Source organism: Homo sapiens, chromosome X, assembly GCF_000001405.40.
Source record: "Homo sapiens chromosome X, GRCh38.p14 Primary Assembly".
NCBI classification, from domain to species: Eukaryota; Metazoa; Chordata; class Mammalia; order Primates; family Hominidae; genus Homo; species Homo sapiens.
The window spans coordinates 52968177-52991840 of record NC_000023.11 but is presented as its reverse complement, the minus strand read 5'-3'; the positions used below and the strand labels follow the sequence as shown (position 1 = coordinate 52991840).

At 43.5% G+C, this 23664-nt stretch overlaps 1 protein-coding gene across 10 annotated transcripts in view, besides 1 other annotated feature; it reads left to right on the top strand.

The window, feature by feature from the left end:
* FAM156A (family with sequence similarity 156 member A) overlaps positions 1-23664 on the top strand; it is a 48219-nt gene that overhangs the window by 3632 nt on the left and 20923 nt on the right. The gene's annotated exons all lie outside the window — the stretch shown is intronic.
* Positions 1591-2170: an enhancer, noted in NCBI's record as "H3K4me1 hESC enhancer chrX:53018839-53019418 (GRCh37/hg19 assembly coordinates)". NCBI's record gives its function as "activates a minimal SCP1, AML or CMV promoter by ChIP-STARR-seq in naive H9 embryonic stem cells {active_cell/tissue: H9 hESC(naive)}" and the evidence as "EXISTENCE:reporter gene assay evidence [ECO:0000049][PMID:30033119]".

Genomic DNA, 23664 nt, shown 5'->3' with positions numbered 1-23664 from the left:
CACAGGGCAAGGCTGAGTACAGGCCCACTGTCATCTCCCTGGCTGGAATAGGTTCTAGCAATAATGACATGGATGTGTTTGGGGGGCCACTATTCTGCCTACCACTTACCCTCTTCCTTGGCAAGCCTTGATGGTAACTGTCATTGTCCCCATACTGGGGCCACAGAGGTAGACAGATGGACCTTAGCCTCCAAGAGAGTGAGTGCCCACCCTGTAGAGGAGAACAGCATGTCGCAGGCAGTTCACAGAGTGATGCCTTTTATATCACTATTGTGATGGTTAGTTTTAGGTGTCTGCTTGATGGGGTTAAGAAAAACCCAAATAGCTGGCAAACCATTATCTCTGGGTGTGTCTGTGAGGGTGTTTCTGGCCTTTGAATCAGTGAACCGATGGAGGAAGATTGGCGTGGGTGGGCATTGTCCGATCCCTCGAGGGCACAGGTACAACAAGAAGGCGGAGGAAAGGGGAATTTGCTGTCTTCTGGAGTTGGGACACCCCGTCTTCTCCTGCCTTTGGACATAAGAACTCCGGGTTTTCAAGCCTTCAGACTCCATGAATTATGCCTCTGGCTCTGCTGGTTCTCAGGCCTTTGGACTCAAACTGAATCACACCATCCACCTCCCTGGCTCTCCAGCTTGCAGATGGAGATGGCAGGACTTCTCAGCCCCCACAGTCACATGAGCCAATTCCCATAACAAGTCCCCTCTTTGGTTCTGTTTCTTGGGAGAACCCTGACTAATACAACCATTCATACCAATACTATCGGTATTCACCTCACCGTGATTCTGTACCAGACACTGGCTGACCACCTAACATGAATCATGCTTTTCTCACCCAACTCCGTGACTGTCAACTCTACTTCTATCACCCATTCACAGGTGAGGGCCTTCTGTATTCTCATCAGCCCCAGCTCCGAGCACAGTCCTTTGCCGAGGCCTTCCTGGTCCTCCTCTTCCTCCTCCTCCTTCTGACCAGGGCCAGCATCTTTTCTTTTCTTTTCTTTTCTTTTCTTTTCTTTTCTTTTCTTTTCTTTTCTTTTCTTTCTTTTCTTTTCTTTTCTTGACAGTCTCACTCTATCGCCCACTCTGGAGTGCAGTGGAGCGATCTCGGCTCACTGCAACCTGCACCTCCCAGGTTCAAGCGATTCTCCTGCCTCAGTCTCCAGAGTAGCTGGGATTACAGGTGCACGCCAACATGCATGGCTAATTTTTGTATTTTTAGTAGAGATGGGGTTTTGCCATGATGGCCGGGCTGGACTTGAACTCCTGACCTCAAGTGATCCACCCGCCTTGGCCTCCCAAAATGCTGGGATTACAGGCATGAGCCACCGTACCTGGCCAGAGCTAGCATCTTAGTCTCACAGTGGCCCCTGCTCATTCTGTCCTCAGCCCTCAGCCCTGCTGTCACCCACCCACATCCTACAACCCCTCCACTTCCTCTTCTCCGTGTCTGTTGTCCAGGGTGGGACCAAGTCCAAACCTGAGCTTCCTGCTAAGTCAAAGTGACCTTTTCCTTTCAGTCAGGGAAGCCTGACTGAAGCCTGTGGTCCCACGGTGAGGTCTTGGTGTCTCCAGGCACAGTGCAGCCACGTTGCAGTGATATCCACCTTTGCCAGCAGGGGGCATCTCATCTCCAAGACCGGGAAAGCCTCAGAGAAGACAGAGGAACAGTCTTAAACATTCACTCCTGGTGGGGTCAGAGGCCTCAGGGTGCATGAGCTCCAGGCTGGGTGTCTCTTGGAGCCTCCCTCTCTGCATGTGGACAGGTAGGGGCAGCCTAGGGCCAGGTTTTAGTGCTGTTGGGGTCATCTGCAGATGGCTTTTCACTCCTTCCTACTTCTTCTCCTTGTACCAGAAGCTCATTTCCATGGCTAAAGGAAAATTCTCATATAATTTTGTCTTCCTTTTCTTATTTAATGATTGCATTATATGCTTTCTTCTACAAGATGCACTGGCTCTGAGGCAGGTCAGGCTATAGGTTGGCGAGTCCTGAGGGCACCAGCCTGGATCCTGAAGATACTGGGGGCAGGCTCCAACAGAGCCTGGGGCTCAGGAAAAGGCCACCAACCCCCCAGCCAGATCCTGGCCAGCTGCCGGCTCCGCCTCCACCCTGTCCTCTCCCAGGGCCTGAACTCTGGGTCTAGAAGCTCCAGGCCTGGTGGTTTGGGGAGACAGGGACCAGGAGGATCCCTCAGAAGAGGAGGCAGCAGACAATCTCCATACAGCTTGAGGGGGTGCACAGCTGTGGGGTGAGGCACGGCCCACCCAGCACAGGCCCACTGACCTGCTGTGCAGCTGCAGGCCCAGCTGCTGCCCTCTACGACACTCAGTCTCCTCACCTGCGCAGTGAGCATCATTATACCCCCAACATGCAGGGGATGCTCATGAATGGAGGGGAGCTGAGGCGTTAATAAAGCAGATTTGGCCCAAGAGGAGGAGGAGTGGGTCAGGGTTGGTGGGGAAGGACAGATGCGGCCACCTCAGGGACAGCCAGGGGCTGCCTTCCTGGAAGTGCTCAGGACAGTCAGGCGAGGGAAGTTCTGAGGTTGTGAGCAGAACCATGGTCTGGGGACCAGGTGAGATTTTCTCTATAGTGTTCTGGGGTGGCCACCTGCTTTGTCACTGTTCCTTCCTGTTGTCGTCATCTCTGCCTATGGGTGCCCCGAGACGAGCCCAGTGAGCTCACTGTGAGTTACTGCGACCCACATGCAGTCATTAGAGCCATGCGTCATCATCACAACAGCCACCAGGTTAACACTTGGGTAATTTATCCAAATAATGACTCACCTGTTCTGACCTGATTTGGATTATATGCCATCATTTATTGTAGCCATAGTTTATTCAGTCATTCTCCTATTGGATCGTTAATTAGTGTTTGATTTACTTTTTGACCATCCAGACCTGTGATGAGAATTCTTGTACATGCAATGATGTTCATAGAGTAACCCTACTTGTAATAGCTAAAAACTGGAAACAACCCAACTACACACCAATAAGAAGTTGCATAAATAAATTCTGCCAGATTCACACTATGAATTACTGCACAGCTATGAGAAGGAATGAGCTAGACCATACAGAGACATAACATTAGGTGACTGAAGCCAGATATAAAAGAGGATATGCTATGTGATTCCCTTTCTACATGGCTCAAAAGCAAATAACAATAGTGTTTAGGCATACATATGTCTGTATTATAACAGTTTTACAGAAAGCAAGGATTCTAACCTGTCTGGTGGGCAAATTTTCTTAATTTTTGAAATTATACAGTAAAATGGACACTTGAGGTATAGTTCTGTGAATTTGAACACCTGTATAGATAGATATAACCACCATCACAGTCAGTATCCAGAACATATGCATCACCCCAAAGAACTTCCTGGGTTCCTTGTGCTGCCCTTGTATAGTCACTTCCTTCTCCCACCCCTAAGCGCTGGCACCCACGGATCTGTTCTCTTATCACTATACTATTGTCTTTTCCAGGATATCATAGAAATGGAATAATACAGCCTGTAGTCTTTTGAGACTGGCTTCTTCACTCAGCATAGTCTCTTTTCTTTTCTTTTCCTTTCTTTTCTTTTCTTTTCTTTTTTTTTTTTGAGACAGAGTCTTGCTCTGTTGCCCAGGCTGGAGTGCAGTGGCGTGATCTCGGCTCACTGCAACCTCCATCTCCCGGGTTCAAGCGATTCTATTCTCCTGCCTCAGCCTCCTGAGTAGCTGGGATTACAGGCACGCACCACCATGCCTTGCCAATATTTGTATTTTTAGTAGAGACGGGGTTTCACCATGTTGGCCAGGGTTGTCTCGAACTTCTGATCCGCCCGCCTCGGCCTCCCAAAGTGCTGGGATTATAGGCATGAGCCACTGCGCTCGACCCCTTGAGTTTCATTCAAATCGTTGAATATATCAATAGTTCCTTCTTTTTTTCTGAATAATATTCCATTGTATGTGTGTAGCAGATCTTGTTTATCCATGCACCCATTGAAGGACATTTGGGTCATTTCTAGTTTGGTACAATTATGAATAGAGCTGCCATAAACATTTGTGCATGGATTTTTGTGTAAACATAAATTTTCCTTCTTCTAGGATAAATATCCTGGATGTCCAATGTTTCCAACACCATTTGTTGAAAAGACTGTTCTCTTTCTGTTGAACTATCCACAAAAATAAGGCAAATAGATTTTTTTTTTTTTTTTTGAGACAGGGTCTTACTCTCTCACCCAGGCTAGAGTGCAGTGCCACAATCACGGTTTGCTGCACCCTTGGCCTCTCAGGCTCAAGCAATCCTCAGCCTCCTGAGTAGCTGGGACTACAGGTGTACACCAGCACACTCGGCTAAGTTTTCTTATTTTTTGCAGAGATGGGGTCTCACTCTGTCACTCAGGCTGGAGTGCAGTGGCATGATCATGACTCACTGCAGCCTCGACCTTCTGGGCTCAAGCCATCCTGCCTCGGCTTCCCAAAGTTCAAAGTCATTTTGACTGTTGTAGCTCCTTTCCCTTTCCACATAAATTTTAGAATCAGTTTGTATCTATAAAAGATCCTGCTGGGAATTTCATTGGAATTGCATGAAATCTGTACATCAATTTGGGGACATCATTCCTATAATGAGTCTGTAATCCATGAGTACAGTACGTCCCTCTCTTTATTTAATTGTTCCTTTATTTCTTTCATTAGCTTCTGATGGTTTTTAGCATACGGCTCCTGCACATGTTTTGTTAGGTTTTCAGGGGCAGCTATTGTAAATGGTATTGTATATTTTTAAAAATGTTCCAAGCAGTTCATTGCTAGTCTATAGAAGTGCTTTGCTTTTTGTTGTTGTTGAACATATATCCTATAATGTTGCTTAACTCCCTTGTTCATTCGAGAAGTATTTTTTATAAATCTGACAAGATTTTCTATGTAGATTATAATAATGTCTGTGAGTTGGAGTAGTTGTAGTCCCTCCTTTCCAATCTGTAAGCCATTTATTTCTTTTTCTTTCCTTTTTAAGCTGGTTGGAACTTTCAGTACAATATTGAATAACAGGGGTGAGAATGAGCAACCTTGTTTGGTTCCTGATGTTATGGAGAAAGCAGTTAGTCTTTATTAAGTATAATATAAGGTGTAGGATTTTTTTAGTTGCTCCATATCAAGTTAAGCAAGCCTCCTTCTAATTCTGGTTTGCTGTTTTTTTTTTCTTTAATTATGAATGACTGTTGAATTTTGTCAAAGGCTTTATCTGTATCAACTGTTGTGACCATGTGGTTGGAGTTTGCAGTTTTTTTTCGGTATATTAATATGGTAGATTGCATTGACACATTTTTGAATATTGAACCAGCTTTGCATTCCCAAGATAAATCCCACTTGGTCTTGGTGCATTATCCTTTTTATATATTATTGGATTTAATATTAACCAAATGTTTTCTTGATAATATTTTGTTGAGAATTTTCTGAATCTATGTTCATGAGGGAGATTACACTATAGTTGGTTTTTTCTTAATGCTGTCTTTGTCTGATTTTGGTGTCAGTGTAATGCTGATCTTATAACATGATTTGGTAAATATTTCAACCATCAATTCCATGTTTTTTTTTTCTGCAGTGATTTTATTTTTTTATTTTATTTTTTTAATTTTATTATTATTATACTTTAAGTTTAGGGAAGTCAGTGTGGCGATTCCTCAGGGATCTAGAACTAGAAATACCATTTGACCCAGCCATCCCATTACTGGGTATATACCCAAAGGATTATAAATCATGCTGCTACAAAGACACATGCACATGTATGTTTGTTGTGGCACTATTCACAATAGCAAAGACTTGGAACCAACCCAAATGTCCAACAATGATAGACTGGATTAAGAAAATTCCATCTTTTAATAGATGGAATCTATTTAGATGATTGGTTTATTTTATTATTGGTTTATTTTATTATTATTATTATTTTTTTTTAGTAGAGACAGAGTTTTGCCATGTTGTACAGGCTGGTCTTGAACTCCTGACCTCAAGTGATCCACCCACCTTGGCTTCCCAAGGTGCTGGGATTACAGGCATGAGCCACCACAGCTGGCCAATGATCTATTTTTGAGTAAGTTTTGGTGGTTTGTGTCTTTCAAACAATTGTTCCATTTTCATCTAAGTTGCTTAATGTATATGCATTCATATATTTGTGAATTAGTATTCATTAGTTATTCATAGTATCCTTTTCATTTTTGTGGGGTCTCTAACTTGTATTAAAGTTTTCAAAGAACGAGCTTTTGGGCCATTGATTTTGTCTGTTCTTTTTTTTGTTTTCAGTCTTATCGATTTCAGCTCCAATCTTTATTTCCCTCATTCTGCTTACTTTGGGTTTATTTTTATTTTCTTTTTCTAGTTTCTTAAGGTGGAAAGTTTCATAATGGGTTTGGGTCCTTTATTTTTTCCAATATGATAATGTAATGGTATAAATTTACTCCCTAGCACTGATTTAGCTGCATCCTGCAAATTTTAATATGTTGTATTTTCATCTTCATTCAGTTTAAAATATTTTCTAATTTCCCTTGTATTGCTCCTTGACCCATGGATTACTTAGAAGTATATGGATTGTTTAATTTCTAAGTTTGGAGATTTTCCTGTTTACTTTCTCTTATTCCTTGTTTTTTTTTTTTCCTATTTTGATCAGAGAACATGCTCTGTATGATTTCAATTATTTTACATTTGGGAAGATTTATTTTGTGACCCAAGATATGGGCTATTTTGGTGAAGTGTCCATATGTACTAGAAAAGAATGTATATCCTCATGTTGTTATGTAGATGGTTCTGTAAATGTAAATACAATTCAGTGGGTAAATGGTGTCATTCAGTTCTTCTATATCCTTGCTAATTTTCTTTCAACTATTTCTATATATTACTGAGAGAGAATTGAAATCTCCAACTATAATTATAAATTTGTTCATCTTTTCCTCTATGTGTGATTTTGCTTTTGTGTTTTTTTTTTTGTTTTTGTTTTTTGTTTTTTGAGACAGAGTCTCACTCTGTCACCCAGGCTGGAGTGCAGTGGTGCAATCTCAGCTCACTGCAACCTCCGCCTCCCAGGTTCAAGCGATTCTCCTGCCTCAGCCTCCTGAGTAGCTGGGATTACAGGCATGTGCCACCACACCTGGCTAATTTTTGTATTTTTTAGTACAGATGGGGTTTCATCCTGTTGGCCAGGCTGGTCTCAAACTCCTGACCTCAGGTGATCCACCTGCCTCGGCCTCCCAAAGTTCTGGGATTACAGGCGCGAACCACTGTGCCCAGCCTGCTTTTGTGTTTCGAAGGTCTGTTGTTCGGTGCTGGCAGAAAAGGGTTAATAATATAGGAAGCCTGAGACTTCCCTTAGAAGGGCCTGCTTACCATGTTGGCCCTTGCCAGGCATCAGGGAACTTGGATTTGGGAAGGATTCCCATGATTCCCTTACTCTGCCTAAACTGTTTGTACAAAATATAGTTTATGCTGCATAGGTGCTTTCATTCTGGAAGTCTGGAATCTTGGCACATGCTAGGCAGAGGGTGCCTGTGTGACCAGCCCCCAGTAAAAGTCTTCAACACTGAATCTCTAGTGAGCTGCTCTGGTAGAAAATATGTCACATCACACATGTCACAATTGATTTCTGGAGGAACGAATTCTGTGACTTTCCTAAAAAAGGACTCCTGGAAACTTGGGCTGGTTTCCTCGGGACATTGCCCCATACACTTTTTTTTTTGTGCTGATATTGCCGTATACTTCCATTGTAATGAATCTTCACCAACATGAGTCCAGCTATATGCTGACTGTGAGTCCTGTGCGTCCTCCCAGCAAATAATCGAAAATGGGAGTGGTCTTGGGGACCCCTGACACAGTTGTGACAGTGGTGGGATTTGCCAGAATGAGCCTGACTCACTAAAATATGGTGAAAGCCTTGTTTAAGTAAAGAAAGGATGAAGGAGTAATGGGTGATGAACCTTTTGTGCTCGGGCGATTATGGCCTCACACACGCTGTGAAACAGCAGCTAGCTGTTGTCTCTTGTGAGAGGTAAATGTTACTTACAGAATTTAAAAAGAACACATCCAACTCTTGGAGACTTGGATCACTGCATTCCTTGGCGTCTTTTGCCATGCCGGAGATTGTGGGGTGGGAGCACAGCCAGGTCAAATTTTGGTTTTTGTCCTCTCTTCCAAACAAAAGAAAGGGACTGGGAATTCACAAAAGTAATGCTGGGGTGGATGAAAAATGTTAAAAATTTGGGTTTCTCTCTCCTCCAGGTGGGAGGGAAAAAATTATATCAGTTCTCTGGGCTGGAGCAAAGCTTAGATAAACCAAAGGGAACAAAAAGAAAAATTTCTCCAGCCTTTTCTTCAGCTTTGCTGCTGCTACTGCAGCCCCTCCCAGCCTTCCAGACAGAATCTCCCCTGGCAGCTATGATGTTAACCCTATAATTGCAATGAAAGCCAAAAAAAGGAATTAAAAATAGCTTTTTTTTTTGTTTTATGGCTGCTGCATCTGGATGTATGATAAAATTGATGTGAAATGCTATATACTTATAATGTAATAAATGCTAGAGGGACCATCCCCTTCAGGGAAGGCTGGAGGGGAAATATTTTTTCTTTTTTATTTTGAGACGGTCTCACTCTGTTGCCTAGGCTGCAGTGCAGTGGTGCAATCATGGCTCACTGTAGCCTCGACCTTCTGGGTTCAAGCAATCCTCCCATCTCAGCCTCACGAGTACCTGAGATCACAGGCATGTGCCAGGATGCCAGGCTAATTTTCTTATCTTTTTGTAGAGATGGAGTTTCTCTGTGTTGTCTAGGCTGGTCTTTAATTCCTGGGCTCAATCTGCCTTATGTTAGTCATTTCCAGTGAACCTGTAAAGGGCCAAAGCCCTCAGCTCCTACACAACAAAGGACTAATAGCCTGGCTTTGCTTCCCTAACTTTTCTCCTGGTGTACACACCTTGGTAAGGCACTTTGACCATTCAATGCAGAGCTGTCACCAGCAAAGCATTGAACTTTTCCAGCCTGCTCGTGAAATAAATGATAGAGACAAAAGGGATAAGAAGTTATGCAAACCTACATAAATTTATTTTTAAATCTGGAATTTCATCCTGATCAGTTTCTGAACATGATGTGTATTATTGGTTGATTTATTAAAATTTTTTTCTCTGAAAATTCTTTTTTCCCTCTTGCATATGACCATTTCAGAGAAAAGATCTAGAGGACGGTAGATGATAAGTAAAGAAATGGGAAGGTCTTTTTTTTTTAAGAGATACTTGGTTTTATTTAAAGTATATATTGAATTACATTGAGTGTCTTTATAGTATCTATTGAGATTATTATTTTTTACTTTAACTGATTAATATATCGTTACTTACATTAATTGACTTTCTTTTTTAAAATTATTTATTTATTTATTTTTGAGATGGAGTCTCACTCTATCACCCAGTCTGGAGTGCAGTGGCTTGATCTTGGTTCACTATAACCTCCGCCTTCCAGGCTCAAGCGATTCTCCCACCTCAGCCTCTCGAGTAGCTGGGATTACAGGTGCTCATCACCATGCCCAGCTAATTTTTGTATTTTTAGTAGACATGGGGTTTCACCATGTTGGCCAGGCTGGTCTTGAACTCCTGACATCAAGTGATCCACCCACCTTGGCCTTCCAAAGTGCTGAGATTACAGGCATGAGCCACCACGCCCAGCCTTTTAAAAAATATAAGTTTTTAAAAATTTTATTTATTTTTTGAGATGGGTTCTGCTATGTTGGCCAGGTTGGTCTTGAACTCTTGGCCTCAAGCAGTCCTCCTTCCTAGGCCTTCCAAAGTGCTGGGATTACAGGCATGATCCACTGAGATGATATCTCATTGTAGTTTTGATTTGTAAGAAGTGGAAAGTTTTGATTTCAGATTAGTACACACTGGTTTTCTAACAATGAAGAAAACACAAAACCTGACATGTGGAAAGAGTCAAGCCAGAGAGAGGGGACATTAGTGATCTCTGGTTTTCAAATGGTTCATGAAAACCTTCCCCTTTTCCTGAAAAAAAAAAAAAGCTCCTCATTCAGCCTTCCTAAATTTCTGTGAGTATGTTGAAATCATACTGACTGCCGAGTGCACAATTACACCTGACAGAGCTGCAACTAGGGGACAGTAGGGGCAACCCAGCTCCTGAGCATCCCATGCAGAACATCTACAGATGTCATCCATGCTTGTGAAGAGGAGGAACTGGTGTCAATGGTTAACAGAACCTGGACTGACTGCCTTCTGTCAGTCCCTCAGAAACCAAGAACACAAATGAGTTGTTTGGATGGACGAGGAACCCTAGAGGGAAAAGTCCCACAGTGGGAAGCCACACTGGGGGCCTTGGCCAGCTCCTGCCTGACTAATGTATGTCCTGCTGGGGGTGCCCTAACAAGGGTAAAGTCTTGGTGTCCAGGGGTACCACGTGTGCCTTCTGGGATTGTACTTGCATGTGCGCCCTGACTATTCCATCACTGCCTCATCCCTGGAAGGCATTCATGTCAGCTTCAGTTTCCTGTCCAGATTGGTGCTGAGCCTGAAATGGAGACTTGGGCTGGACAAAAAAAGGTTCATACACAATCTTAGTTAGGAAGTCACCTGCCTTTCTAAGATAGACCTTCATGGTTACTGGGATTTGTATTAGTTGGCTGTGATGGTAAACTTGATGTGTCAACTTGGCTTGGCCACAGTACACAGGTATTTGTTGAAACACCAGACTAGGTGTCTCTGTGAAGGTGTTTTTTAAGATGAGACTAACATTAAAATCAGTAGACTTTGAGTAATGCAAATTATACTCCATGATGTGGCTGGGCCTCATTCAATCACTTGAAAGTCTTAAAGAAAAAAAAAAAGACTGGGATCCCCCCATGAAGAAAAAATTCTGCCTCGAGACTGCCCTTGGATTCGAGCTACATTACCTCTTCCCTGGGTCTCCAGCCTGACATTCTGCTCTGCACAATTTAGACTTGCCAGCCCCCACAGCCTCTCTCTCTCTCTCTCCCTCTACACACACACACACACACACACACACACACACACACACACACACACACACACACACACACACACACACAGAGGAACCCTAACCAAAAGGCTGCTTACATCTGGGACCCTTAAAGGGCATAGCTGAGATCAGTACTTTGGTCTCACTCTGTTGCATGGCTCCTAAGGCAGAGGCCTCTGGCATTCTCCTCCCACCCTCTGCAGACTGCCAGCCATGGGGCTCATCACTGTGACTCAGCGTTTGGTCATCCAACCATGTAGAGATCACTACAATTCCATAAGTGTTCCCTGCCCTCTTTCTGTCTGTGAGGTCCTCTATCCCATCCTGAGGACTCAGGGATCTACTGGGCATGTTTCCAACCTTCCAGGAGAGACCACAGAGCCTGGTGAGGGAAATACACCTGCAAAGAGAAGTTCAGTTTAGTAACAGCAATGGGCATAGCCGGTGTGTTCACCAACTAATGAGAGATCACACTACCAACATCTCCCGCTTGATTTTCCCCATCAACTAACAGCTTATCATGGAAATGATCCCTTTGGTAGGTAAGTTGGATTCCCCTCATTGTTTCCCCCAGGCATGCAGCACTACAAAGCAAATTGATACTGGTATGTTGTGTCAGAGTGGAATCCAAGAATGGAATGCCCTGCAGTGATGTGATTTCTAAAGCAGTCAATAAGTCTTTGTAAGTTTCCAGGTGAAGCAACATACAAGCCCCGGCCCCCGCCACCCAGTTTACAGGGAAGTGATATATATGGAAAAAAATCCAGTTTATTTAAGACTCTGGAAAAAGTTGTTTGCCTCCCTGTAACCTTCACTCCACAAATGCCAGTAGCCGCTTCCAATAATTTGAACACCCAAAGCTGCCCTTGGAAATTTCCAAAATGCCCCAAAATGGGCGATGATATTCTGACTACAAACCACAAGTTTAGGATTTAAAAGAAGAATCCTAGAACTTCTTAATAACATCAAAAGTTTAGGAATGTTGCAGTCGGTACAGAGGAAACAGCACAGTAACATGGAGAAGGACACAATGTTCCCCAGGAGGGGTTGCGGGAACCTTGTTCCTCTGTGTTGCTTTCTTGTGATAAGAAAGTGTTTCAGTGCCAGCTGGGGTGTGTGGTGAAGCTTCATTTCAAAGGTCAACCACTGCCATGGGACATTGATGCTCAGGATGGTTCTGTGGTAGTCATGGCTCTGGGATCCTGGGACTGGTGTCCTTCTTCTCAGTGAGGACAGCCCTCTCCAGGCTGTGACATAGGAGGAACAGGCCAGGCTAGGTCGTCAGGCTGCCAGGGACAGGTGTGTGCTGTGGGAGAAGGAGAAGGACAGCTGGAGGGAGGAGAGGGGAGACGAACTCCTTAGGTGAGGGGCAGGTGTCTGTTGGTGAAGGGAAGACATTGGTCCTAAGTCCTGACATTGCTCTAGGCTCCCGTTGAAGGAAATGACGGTGCAAGAAGGAAACCAAGGCTGGTGGGAGGGGGACAACAGCTTGCATCTCCTCCCATCCTATGTGTTCAGTGGTCCCTGAGAGGAGCCCATACCATTTTGGGATCTAAAAGGTCATTTCCTGGGACCCCTTCATTCACTGCCCATGAAGAGAAGGGATTTGAGATAAACTGAGGCCTTCAAGGAGAAAGGCCAGTAGGAGTTGTGAGGCCTTCTCAAAAGTCCCTCTGCCCTACCCTTACGGTGAGTCTCACACTGCGCTCATCTTGTCCTGTGTTACTTTGCTCTGAGGTTGCTCTTCTGAACCTCATGTCTGTCCTGGGAATATTTTTCTGGGTATATTGCAGACAGTCTTGCTACCAAAGGGATTTAATAAGGTTTCTGAAAGTTCCCTAGGCTGGCCAGCAAAGTTCCCTTGGACTACATGAGACTCACTGGGTGTGAGTTCTGGAATCTGCACTTTTAAAAGATCCTAGGTTCTAACTTTCATGGAAACGTGTCTGAGCAATACTAGAGCAGGAGAATAGTCTCCTTTCCCAGTGACACAGCTTCTTTCTCCTTTGTGAAGGTATGGAAGGGATAGGTTTGATGTGTTCTCTGATGTACAAACCCAAGACCTTCAGCTGAGGAGACCGACACTGACGTGCTGCCTGTTATGGTAATGACACACTCAGGGCACCATCTCCAAATGATACCCAGACCAGTCCTTTCAAGTCTCCATCTCTTAAAGATTTCTGAAGAAATCAAATATCTATTGCCTGTGCAGTCCCATGCTATAAAATTCTAAATATTTTGCAGTAGCTTTTGGATCTTACTCTTGATTGCACTAATATGCAGCACAGTAGAGTTTTCGCGATGCCCGTGGCTCTTGGTTCCAGCACTCACTGCTGGGTGACCCTGAGAAAGTTCCTTAACATCTCTGTGCTTCCTTTCTCCATTAGTACCATGGAAATACTACTAGTAATGTCATCTACTTCTTGGGGCAGTTTAGAGCACTGACTGTGTGAAGACATGTACAGTTGTCTGGACAGTCCCTGGCATATGGTCAGTTTCCAATAAATTCTAAGCTGTTATTGTTGCTGTTCCCGCATTTCCCTGGGGCATGTTCTGGAGAGACAGATGTCAAGTCTACTTTTGACCCCTTGGATGATGTTTAGATTATCTCTTCAGCTCTTCTGGGACTCAAGGTCTGAGTCTGTGGGGCAGGGGGAGGGCACATTTTATTAGCATAATGAATATTCAGCTTTCCTTACAGGGTATCGTGGAGCCTAAATGCAATGCTGGAGTTTCATCATCATGAGCTTGTATGGAAAATTTGAATGGAAATTTCTCTAGGAAATTAGAACTCTAGTGACCTCTTCATGTAACTTGTATAATGCTTGGACAAGCAAGTGGTCACTGGATAATGATAGCACAAAAGCATATAAATTTTTAGAAATAATTTAAAGAGTGAAATTTAAAGGTCAAAAATTATTATCATATGGATTATTCTATTGCTATTAGTTCTATTAAGTCCAACTCTCCTCCATCAAATTGTGAAGATCTGAATCTGATGGAGATATGAAGCTGTTAGCAGTTGAATTTTTATTAGTGGTATTTTATTTTTTGTATAGTATTCACCTCGTCTGTTGTATCTTGTGTTGATTACTTCTACCATTAATGTTTATTGTTGGCTAGGCATGATGGCTCACACCTATAATCCTAGAATCTTAGGAGGCCAAGGCAGGAGGATTGCTTGGGCCCAGGAGTTCGAGATCATCCTGGGCAATGTAGTGAGACCTTGTCTCTACAAGAATAAAAAAATAAGCTGGGCATGGTGGTTCATGCCTGTATTCCCAGCTACTCAGGGGTCTGAGGTGGGAGGATTACTTGAGCCCAGGAAGTCAAGGCTGCAGTGAACCATGATCATACCACTACACTCTGGCCTGGGCAATGGGAGTGAGACCCTGTCTCAAAAAAGTAAATTCATTTTTGATCTAAGGAAAGACTTATGGTACTAATGTTTTCTGAGCTAAATCATGAGAAGATGGTATCAATTTATTCAGATCCAGAGTCAGAGGAAATGGGCAATGGGGGAAGAGAGTGGAGTGTGGAGGGGAAGTGAAGGTGTGCGGGGCAGGGAGAGAGGTCTAGGGCAGACAGGGGCAAGGAATAATGGGGAAGAGCAGAAAGCAGAAGTTCAGAGATGTGAGAATAAAAACTCATACTTCTGGATACTTACTCTGGGCCAGATGTTTTTAGTGCACTCTCTCTCTTCATTTATATATATACGTATCAAGATATATATATATATATATATATGTGTGTGTGTGTGTGTGTATATATATGTATATATGTATATGTATATATGTGTGTGTATATATATATGTGTGTGTGTATATATATATATATGTATAGTGCCACAGGCATCGTGAAAACTCTACTGTCCCTGCCCTTGCAGGCAATGTGACTTTTGGCAAGTTCCTTAGTCTCTTAACCTATGTGTCTCAGTTTCCTATTCTGTAATAAGGGATGATAACATTAGCAACACACTAAGTGACTGTTATTATATATACATATTTATATAATGTAAAAATATAGTCATATTTCGATAATACAGGGTGATGAGTCAATACCAGGAAAGCACAAAGATGGTCTCTGTTCCATATCAAGCTTTCTGTATGTGTTTGCTACCATGGATGTTAGCAGCAACATCCTTGTCACTGTCATTATGGGAAATAGCTTTGGTATAATATTAAACAAAACAACAGATGCAGTATTATAAACACACTACTTGTTCTCCAATCTCATAATTTTAAAAAACATGCATAGAAAAAAGCCTGTAAGGGAATGCACCACATTTGAAGTGTTGCTCTCTAAGTGGGAAACTCAATCATTTTGAAATAACATTCCTTTCACTGTTTTACTTGCGTTTTCTTCCTTATTATTACTCAGCCACTGTTTCTCTAATAATTTTTTTTTTTGAGATGGAGTCCTGATCTGTCGCCCGGGCTGGAGTGCAGTGGCACGATCTTGTTTCACTGTAACCTCTGCTTCCCAGGTTCAAGCAGTTTTCCTGCCTCAGCCTCCCGAGTAGCTGGCATTACAGGTATGCACCACTATGCCTGGCTAATTTTTGTATTTTTAGTAGAGACCAGGTTTCACCATGTTGGCCAGGTTTGTCTCGAACTCCTGACCTCATGATCCGCCCGACTCAGCCTCCCAAAGTGCTGGGATTACAGGCGTGAGCCACCGCACCTGGCCAATAATTTTTAAAATAGATGTTCTGAAGACTCATTCTTTTAGGTATCTTGAGGATTAGGGGTAAAAGGTGTTTTGATATCCTTATCAGGAGGCAAACCAGTCAGTGACCCTCGGGGGCAGCATTTAAAACAGAAGGAAGGTTTGGGGTAGGGTAGAGAGGGGCAGTGGGGGAGGCAGGGTGGTGTGGATGGAAAGTTAGCTGAAGACCCCCAGGCATCCTGAAAAATGCCACAGTGGGTACATGTTGAAAGAAACCAAAACACCCGCATGTCCATAAGAGGAGGCTGCTGTGCTATCGAGATGGAGATCTTTATGACGTCTCCTTAGACCTTTCCTCTCCTTCGGCTCCAGTGGCGCAATTTGGCAGCACATGGCCCTGGCAAGGCGCTGCTGCTGGTGAGCTGTGCTGAGGTCAAGGCCCGGCCCACCTGCAGCATCATCACTTCAGAGACTGGCCTGGGGCACCTGTCTTGGTATCTGGAAGCCTACAGTTTCAGATCAGGGAAACGGAGAAAACACATAGTGCAATAGTTAGACTCAACGCTCCCCCAGTGACGCCATCAGTGCAAAGCGAGAGGCACATATAGGTTGTTGTGGTCATTAGTTTGGGATGAGCAGGGCTGGGTTGGGTCATTCCCTGAAAGAGGAATTGGGGGAGTGAATGCCAGTGTGATCTATTACATTACTAGTGCACAAGTGGCTAAGCTTCTGTTTCCTAAGTTTGTTTTTCTGCTAAGACAATGGCGTGCTCCGTTACTGTGGTGAGAAGCTGCCCTGGCCTGAGGTGTGTGCGGGAATGACTGCACCTACTGATGAGCATTCTGAAGATTCGCCAAAAGCTGTGACAAGGGGGCACTGCCCGCATAAAGCTATGAAGGCCCCTGGCTCTTAGCACCCACAGACCCAGAAAGCTCTTCAGCCTGGCTGTGCATCATGCCGTGGCATCTTTGAGGCCACGGGAAGCTTTGAGGCCACCCTCGAGCTAAAGTTCTGGTGCCCTTCAGCCTCCTAATGCAGGTCAGGTGGCTTCCCAGAAGCTGCCCACTGATCTGAATCAGTGCCAAGGGAATGTGTGTGTGTGTGTGTGTGTGTGTGTGTGTGTGTGTGTGTGTATGTGTTTAACAGAGAGGGAGGGCGCACCTGAAATAGTGAGAGAAATCGACCAGGGCTTGCTCTGTCTTGCTTCTGACCTGAGGAGCTAACTGCCTTTGCTCATTCCCGCACGTAGGCCAAGCTAACTATGGGAGGAATTTAGTGTAGGGTTTAACTTCAAAGCAAAGACGATAATAGTCCCTTTCGGAACCCAGCCCCGAGGAGATGAGAAGGGTGTACACACAAGCAGCAATGTTGTGTGAAAGGTTTATGGGAGCACTGTGACCTGACCAAGGACAAAGATGTTTTGCAACCTCCCTGGGCTCCCGTTGACACCTAGATGTCTGTGGTCACCATTCTCCTCCTGACCTCACCCTTTCCTGATTCTCCCTTGCCTGTAAAAAGAAGCTTGAGATTCATGCCCCTTAAGATGGCTCCATAGGTCATTAGTCCATCATCGTCTTGGCTTGCTGGCTGTCTGAAATAAAGTCACTTTTCTCTGCCCAGGAGGTGGAGGTTGCAGTGAGCCATGATCAGGGCACTGCACTCCAGCCTGGGCAATATAGTGAGACCCTGTCTCAAAAAAAAACTTAATTTGTTGAACAGTCATTTGCCAAGCCTCAACTATGTTCTAGGTACTGTGCTGAGTGTCTGGGACATACAATAAAAAAAGACACATCCCCGCCCTCATGGAGTTTATGTCAAATTGTAGGATAATGGTCAATCTACTGATCCCACACAAAAAATGCAAAAATTCCTGCCAGACTTCAAGTAATGTCCTACCACTTCATGTACACTGTGAGACTCTTACAGCTGTATACTTCCATTTCCTTTCTCCCCAGCCTTCTGCTATTGTTGTCTTACATTATATGTCTACCTATGTCAGAGCCCCACAATACATTGTTACTATTTGACAGTCAATTTTCTTTTAAAGAGATTAGCTACAAGAAAAAAGTCTTGACTGAGCATGGCGGCTCATGCCTGTAATCCTGGCACTTTGGGAGGCTGAGGCAGGAGGATTGCTTGAGCCCAGAGGTTTGAGAGAAGCCTGGGCAACATAGGGAGACCTTTTTTCTAAATAAGAAACTTTAAAAGTTTTTAAAAAATCAGCCGGGCCCCGTGGCTCATGCCTATAATCCCAGCAGTTTGGGAGGTCGAGGTGGGTGGTTTGCCTGAGCTCAGGAGTTCATGACCAGGCTGGGCAACATGGTGAAACCCCGTCTCTACTAAAACACAAAAAAATTAGCCAGGCGTGGCGGCGTGCACCTGTAGTCACAGCTACTTAGGAGGCTGAGGCAGGAGAATCCCTTGAACCTGGAAGGCGGAGGTTGCAGTGAGCAGAGATCGTGCCACTGCACTCCAGCCTGGGCGACAGACGGAAACTCCGTCTCCAAAAAATAAAATCTTGTACTTTCCCACAATTGTTCCGTGTCCAGTACTGTGAAGTTCTGTGTGTAGATCCAAATTTCCTTCTATTTTCCTTCTGACCCAAGAACTTCCTTTAACATGGTTTGTAGGACAAATCTGTTGACAGTGACTTTTCTCCCCATTTTTGTTTGTTTACCTGTTTGTGTAAACATGTTTATGTCACATTCATTAAAAAAAATTGTGCTGATTAGAAAGTTCTGGGTTGCACAGATTCTGATGAGAAGTCTGATGGATGACTTTAAATTTGTTCCTCTGTATGTAGTGTGTCTTCCTTTCTTTTTCTGCCAGAGCATTGGTGTTGGGGTTTGAATCAATCTTTTCAGTAGCTGAACTGGACTTCAGTTGTGTTGTTGCTGTAGTTATTTTCTCTCTTTTTTTTTGCAGCAGCTATAAATGTGAATTTATTTTTTTTTAATTTTTTAATTTTTATTTATTATACTTTAAGTTCTAGGGTACATGTGCACAACATGCAGGTTTGTTACATAGGTATACATGCACCATGTTGGTGTGCTGCATCCATTAACTCGTCATTTACATTAGGTGTATCTCCTAATGCTATCCCTCCCTCCTCCCTCCCACCCCATGACAGGCCCCGGTGTGTGATGATCCCCTTCCTGTGTCCAAGTGTTCTCATTGTTCAATTCCTACCTATGAGTGAGAACATGCGGTGTTTGGTTTTTTGTCCTTGTGATAGTTTGCGGAGAATGATGGTTTCCAGCTTCATCCATGTCCCTACAAAGGACATGAACTCATCCTTTTTTATGGCTGCATAGTATTCCATGGTGTATATGTGCCACATTTTCTTAATCCAATCTATCATTGATGGACATTTTGGTTGGTTCCAAGTCTTTGCTATTGTGAATAGTGCCGCAATAAACATACATGTGCATGTGTCTTTATAGCAGCATGATTTATAATCCTTTGGGTATATACCCAGTAATGGGATGGCTGGGTCAAATGGTATTTCTAGTTGTAGATCCTTGAGGAATCACCACACTGTCTTCCACAATGGTTGAACTAGTTTCCAGTCCCACCAACAGTGTAAAAGTGTTCCTATTTCTCCACATCCTCTCCAGCACCTGTTGTTTCCTGACTTTTTAATGATTGCCATTCTAACTGGTGTGAGATGGTATCTCATTGTGGTTTTGATTTGCATTTCTCTGATGGCTGCCTAAATGTCTTCTTTTGAGAAGACTTTTTGAGAAGTCTTTTGAGAAGACTTTGCCCACTTTTTGATGGGGTTGTTTGTTTTTTTCTTGTAAATTTGTTTGAGTTCTTTGTAGATTCTGGATATTAGCCCTTTGTCAGATGAGTAGATTGCAAAAATTTTCTCCCATTCTGTAGGCTGCCTATTCACGCTGATGGTAGTTTCTTTTGCTGTGCAGAAGCTCTTGAGTTTAATTAGATCCCATTTGTCAATTTTGGCTTTTGTTGCCATTGCTTTTGGTGTTTTAGACATGAAGTCCTTGCCCATGCCTATGTCCTGAAAGGTATTGCCTAGGTTTTCTTCTAGGGTTTTAATGGTTTTAGGTCTAACATTTAAGTCTTTAATCCATCTTGAATTAATTTTTGTATAAGGTGTAAGGAAGGGATCCAGTTTCAGCTTTCTGCATATGGCTAGCCAGTTTTCCCAGCACCATTTATTCAATAGGGAATCCTTTCCCCATTTCTTGTTTTTGTCAGGTTTGTCAAAGATCAGATGGTTGTAGATGTGTGGTATTATTTCTGAGGGCTCTGTTCTGTTCCATTGGTCTATATCTCTGTTTTGGTACCAGTACCATGCTGTTTTGGTTACTATAGCCTTGTAGTATATATAGTTTGAAGTCAGGTAGCGTGATGCCTCCAGATTTGTTCTTTTGGCTTAGGGTTGTCTTGGCAATGCAGGCCCTTTTTTGGTTCCATATGAACTTTAAAGTAGTTTTTTCCAATTCTGTGAAGAAAGTCATTGGTAGCTTGATGGGGATGGCATTGATTCTATAAATTACCTTGGGCAGTATGGCCATTTTCACGATATTGACTCTTCCTATCCATGAGCATGGAATGTTCTTCCATTTGTTTGTGTCCTCTTTTATTTCGTTGAGCAGTGGTTTGTAGTTCTCCTTGAAGAGGTCCTTCACATCCCTTGTAAGTTGGATTCCTAGATATTTTATTCTCTTTGAAGCAATTGTGGATGGGAGTTCACTCATGATTTGGCTCTCTGTCTGTCTGCTATTGGTGTATAAGAATGCTTGTGATTTTTGCACATTGATTTTTGTATCCTGAGACTTTGCTGATGTTGCTTATCAGCTTAAGGAGATTTTGGGCTGAGACGATGGGGTTTTCTAAATATACAATCATGTCATCTGCAAATAGGGACAATTTGACTTCCTCTTTTCCTAATTGAATACCCTTTATTTCTTTCTCCTGCCTGGTTGCCCTGGCCAGAACTTCCGACACTATGTTGAATAGGAGTGGTGAGAGAGGGCATCCCTGTCTTGTGCCAGTTTTCAAAGGGAATGCTTCCAGGTTTTGCCCATTCAGTATGATATTGGCTGTGGGTTTGTCATAAATAGCTCTTATTATTTTGAGATACGTCCCGTCAATACCTAATTTATTGAGAGTTTTTAGCATGAAGGCTGTTGAATTTTGTCAAAGGCCTTTTCTGCATCTATTGAGATAATCATGTGGTTTTTGTGTTTGGTTCTGTTTATATGCTGGATTACATTTATTGACTTTCGTATGTTAAACCAGCCTTGCATCCCAGGGATGAAGCCCACTTGATCGTGGTGGATAAGCTTTTTGATGTGCTGCTGGATTCGGTTTGCCAGTATTTTACTGAGGATTTTTGCATCAATGTTCATCAGGGATATTGGTCTAAAAGCTGTAGATATTTTCAATATAACACAATACCTCAGATTCAGGGTACAAGATATCAGTATGCAAAAATCAATTGTATTACTTCTTTGTTTTTATTTGATAAATTGGCATAATAATTGTACATATACATGGGGCAAGTAGTGATATTTCCATACATATGATGTATGGTGATCAAAGCAGAGTAATTAGCATATGGATTGTCTCAAACATTCATCATTTCTTTGTGTTGGGAATATTCAATGTCCTCCTAACTATTTGAAACTATATAATATATTATTTGTTTACTTTTTCAAAACAGAGTCTCACTCTGTCACCCAGGCTGGAGTGCAGTGGCACGATCTCAGCTCACTGCAACCTCCGCTTCCCAAGCTCAAGCGGTTCTCCTGTCTCAGGATCCCGAGTAGCTGGGATTACAGGCAACCACCACCACGCCTGGCTAATTTTTGTATTTTTAGTAGAGACGGTGTTTTGCCATGTCGACCAGGCTGGTCTCAAACTCCTGACCTCAGATGATCCGCCCGCCTCAGTCTCCCTAAGTGCTGGGATTACAGGTGTGAGCCACCATGCCCGGCCTATATAATATATTATCGTTCATTATAGTTATCCCACAATGCTGTGGAACACTATAACTTACTTCTCCTATCAAACTGTAATTTTGTATCCTTTAACAAATCTCTCTCTATCTCCACCACCCCTTACCCTTTCCAGCCTCTAGTATCCTCTGTTCTACTTTTTATTTCTATGAGATTAGCATTTTTTAGCTTCCACATATGAATGACAACATGTGGTGTTTAAGTCTCTGTTCCTGGCTTATTTCACTTAACATAAAGTCCTCCACTTCCACCCAAGATTGCTCAGAATGACAGAATTTCATTCCTTTTTAGGGCTGAAAAGTATTGCATTGTGTACGTGTACCACATTTTCTTCATCCGTTCATCTAGACTGATTCCATAGCATGGCTATTGTGCATAGTGCTATAATCAATGTGGGAGTGCAGATGTCTCTTTGATATGCTGATTTCCTATCCCTTGAATAAATGCCCAGTAGTGGGATTGCTGGATCATATGGTGGTTCTATTGTAGTTTTTGGAGGAACCTCCCTTCTGTTCTCCATAGTGTCTCTACTAGTTTAAATTCTCACCAATAGGGTATGACAGTTCCCTTTTCTCTGCATCCTTGCCAGTGTTTGTTATTTTTCGTCTTTTTGAGAATAGGCATTCTAGCTGAGTGAGATTGCCAGCATTTGTTTGTTTGTTTGTTTGTTTTGTCTTTTTGATAACAGGTATTGTAACTGTGTGAGACGATAACTCATTGTGGTTTTACTGTTATTTCTTTTCTTTTCTGGAGACAGGGTCTCACTATGTTGCCCAGGCTGGTCTTGAAGTCCTGAGCTCAAGCAGTCCTCCTCCCTTGGCTTCCTAAGTAGCTGGGACTACAGGCCTGCTCCATCCCAGCCAGCTCTCATTGTGGTTTTGATTTGCATTTCCCTGATGATTAGCGATGCTGAACATTTTTTCATACATTTCTTGGCCATTTGTAGGTCTTCCTTTGAGAAACATCTATTCAGATAATTTCCCTATTTGAGCTTGGATGGGTTTTTTGGCTGTTGAGATGTTTGACTTCCTTGTATATCATGGTTATTAACACCCTGTCTAATGAATAGTTTGCAAATCTTTTCAATCTTTTGTAAATAAACAAATACGGGATTTTATTTTTTTAATTATATTTTTTTGAGACAGGATTGTGCTCTGTCACCCAGGTTGGAGTGCGGTGGCGCGATCAAGGCTCACTGCAGCCTCAACCTCCCAGGCCCAAACCTTCCTCCCACCTCAGCCTCCTGAGTACCTGGGATTCCAGGTGCTCACAACCCTGCCCAGCTCATTTTTAATTTTTTTTTGTAAAGACAGGGTCTCGCTATGTTGCCCAGACTGGTCTTGAACTCCTGGCCTCAACTGATCCTCCCACTTCAGCCTCTGAAGAGCTGGGATTACAGGAGTGAGCCATCGTGCCCAGCCTAAATATGGGATTTTAGGCATTAAGCAGGGACAGGTGTTTGGGTGAGCGTAGCTAAGAGCTGGGTTCTTCAGTCAGAGAGCATCCCACCAGGCATTGATTAAGCCCGGACTGTGTTCAGAGCGCTGGAGGAAATGCTGAAGATGCGACACTGGGCTCCTGTGGTCCTGCGGGAGTGCACGTCCACCAGGGAATCAGAGATGGGCCACTGAGTGTGTCCGCCAGGAGGATCAGGCCTACCGGCCAGGCCCACCTGGGCCTCAGTCCCCGAATTCCACAGCCTTACAGCTGTTTTCATCCATGAGCAAATAGCCCTGCCCTAGGGCTGGTCTAGAGGAGATGGGGCAGGGAGATGTCTGGGCTCCTTCCGTTTGCACAAAGCCCTGCAAGAAGCATGGATACCCTCGTGTGCTGTCTCTTGTAAAGCAGAATCAGGCATTTAGAGGTAGGGAGTGGGGTCGGGGGGACGGGTCTCTCATGGCACAGGGAGGATAACTGGGGAGGGACAGCAGCACCCCTCAGTGTCAGCTCTTGGTCTGTGCCACGGATCCTCAGCACAGCACGGCCAGCTACTTCAGGCTCCACTTTAGCTGCCTCTG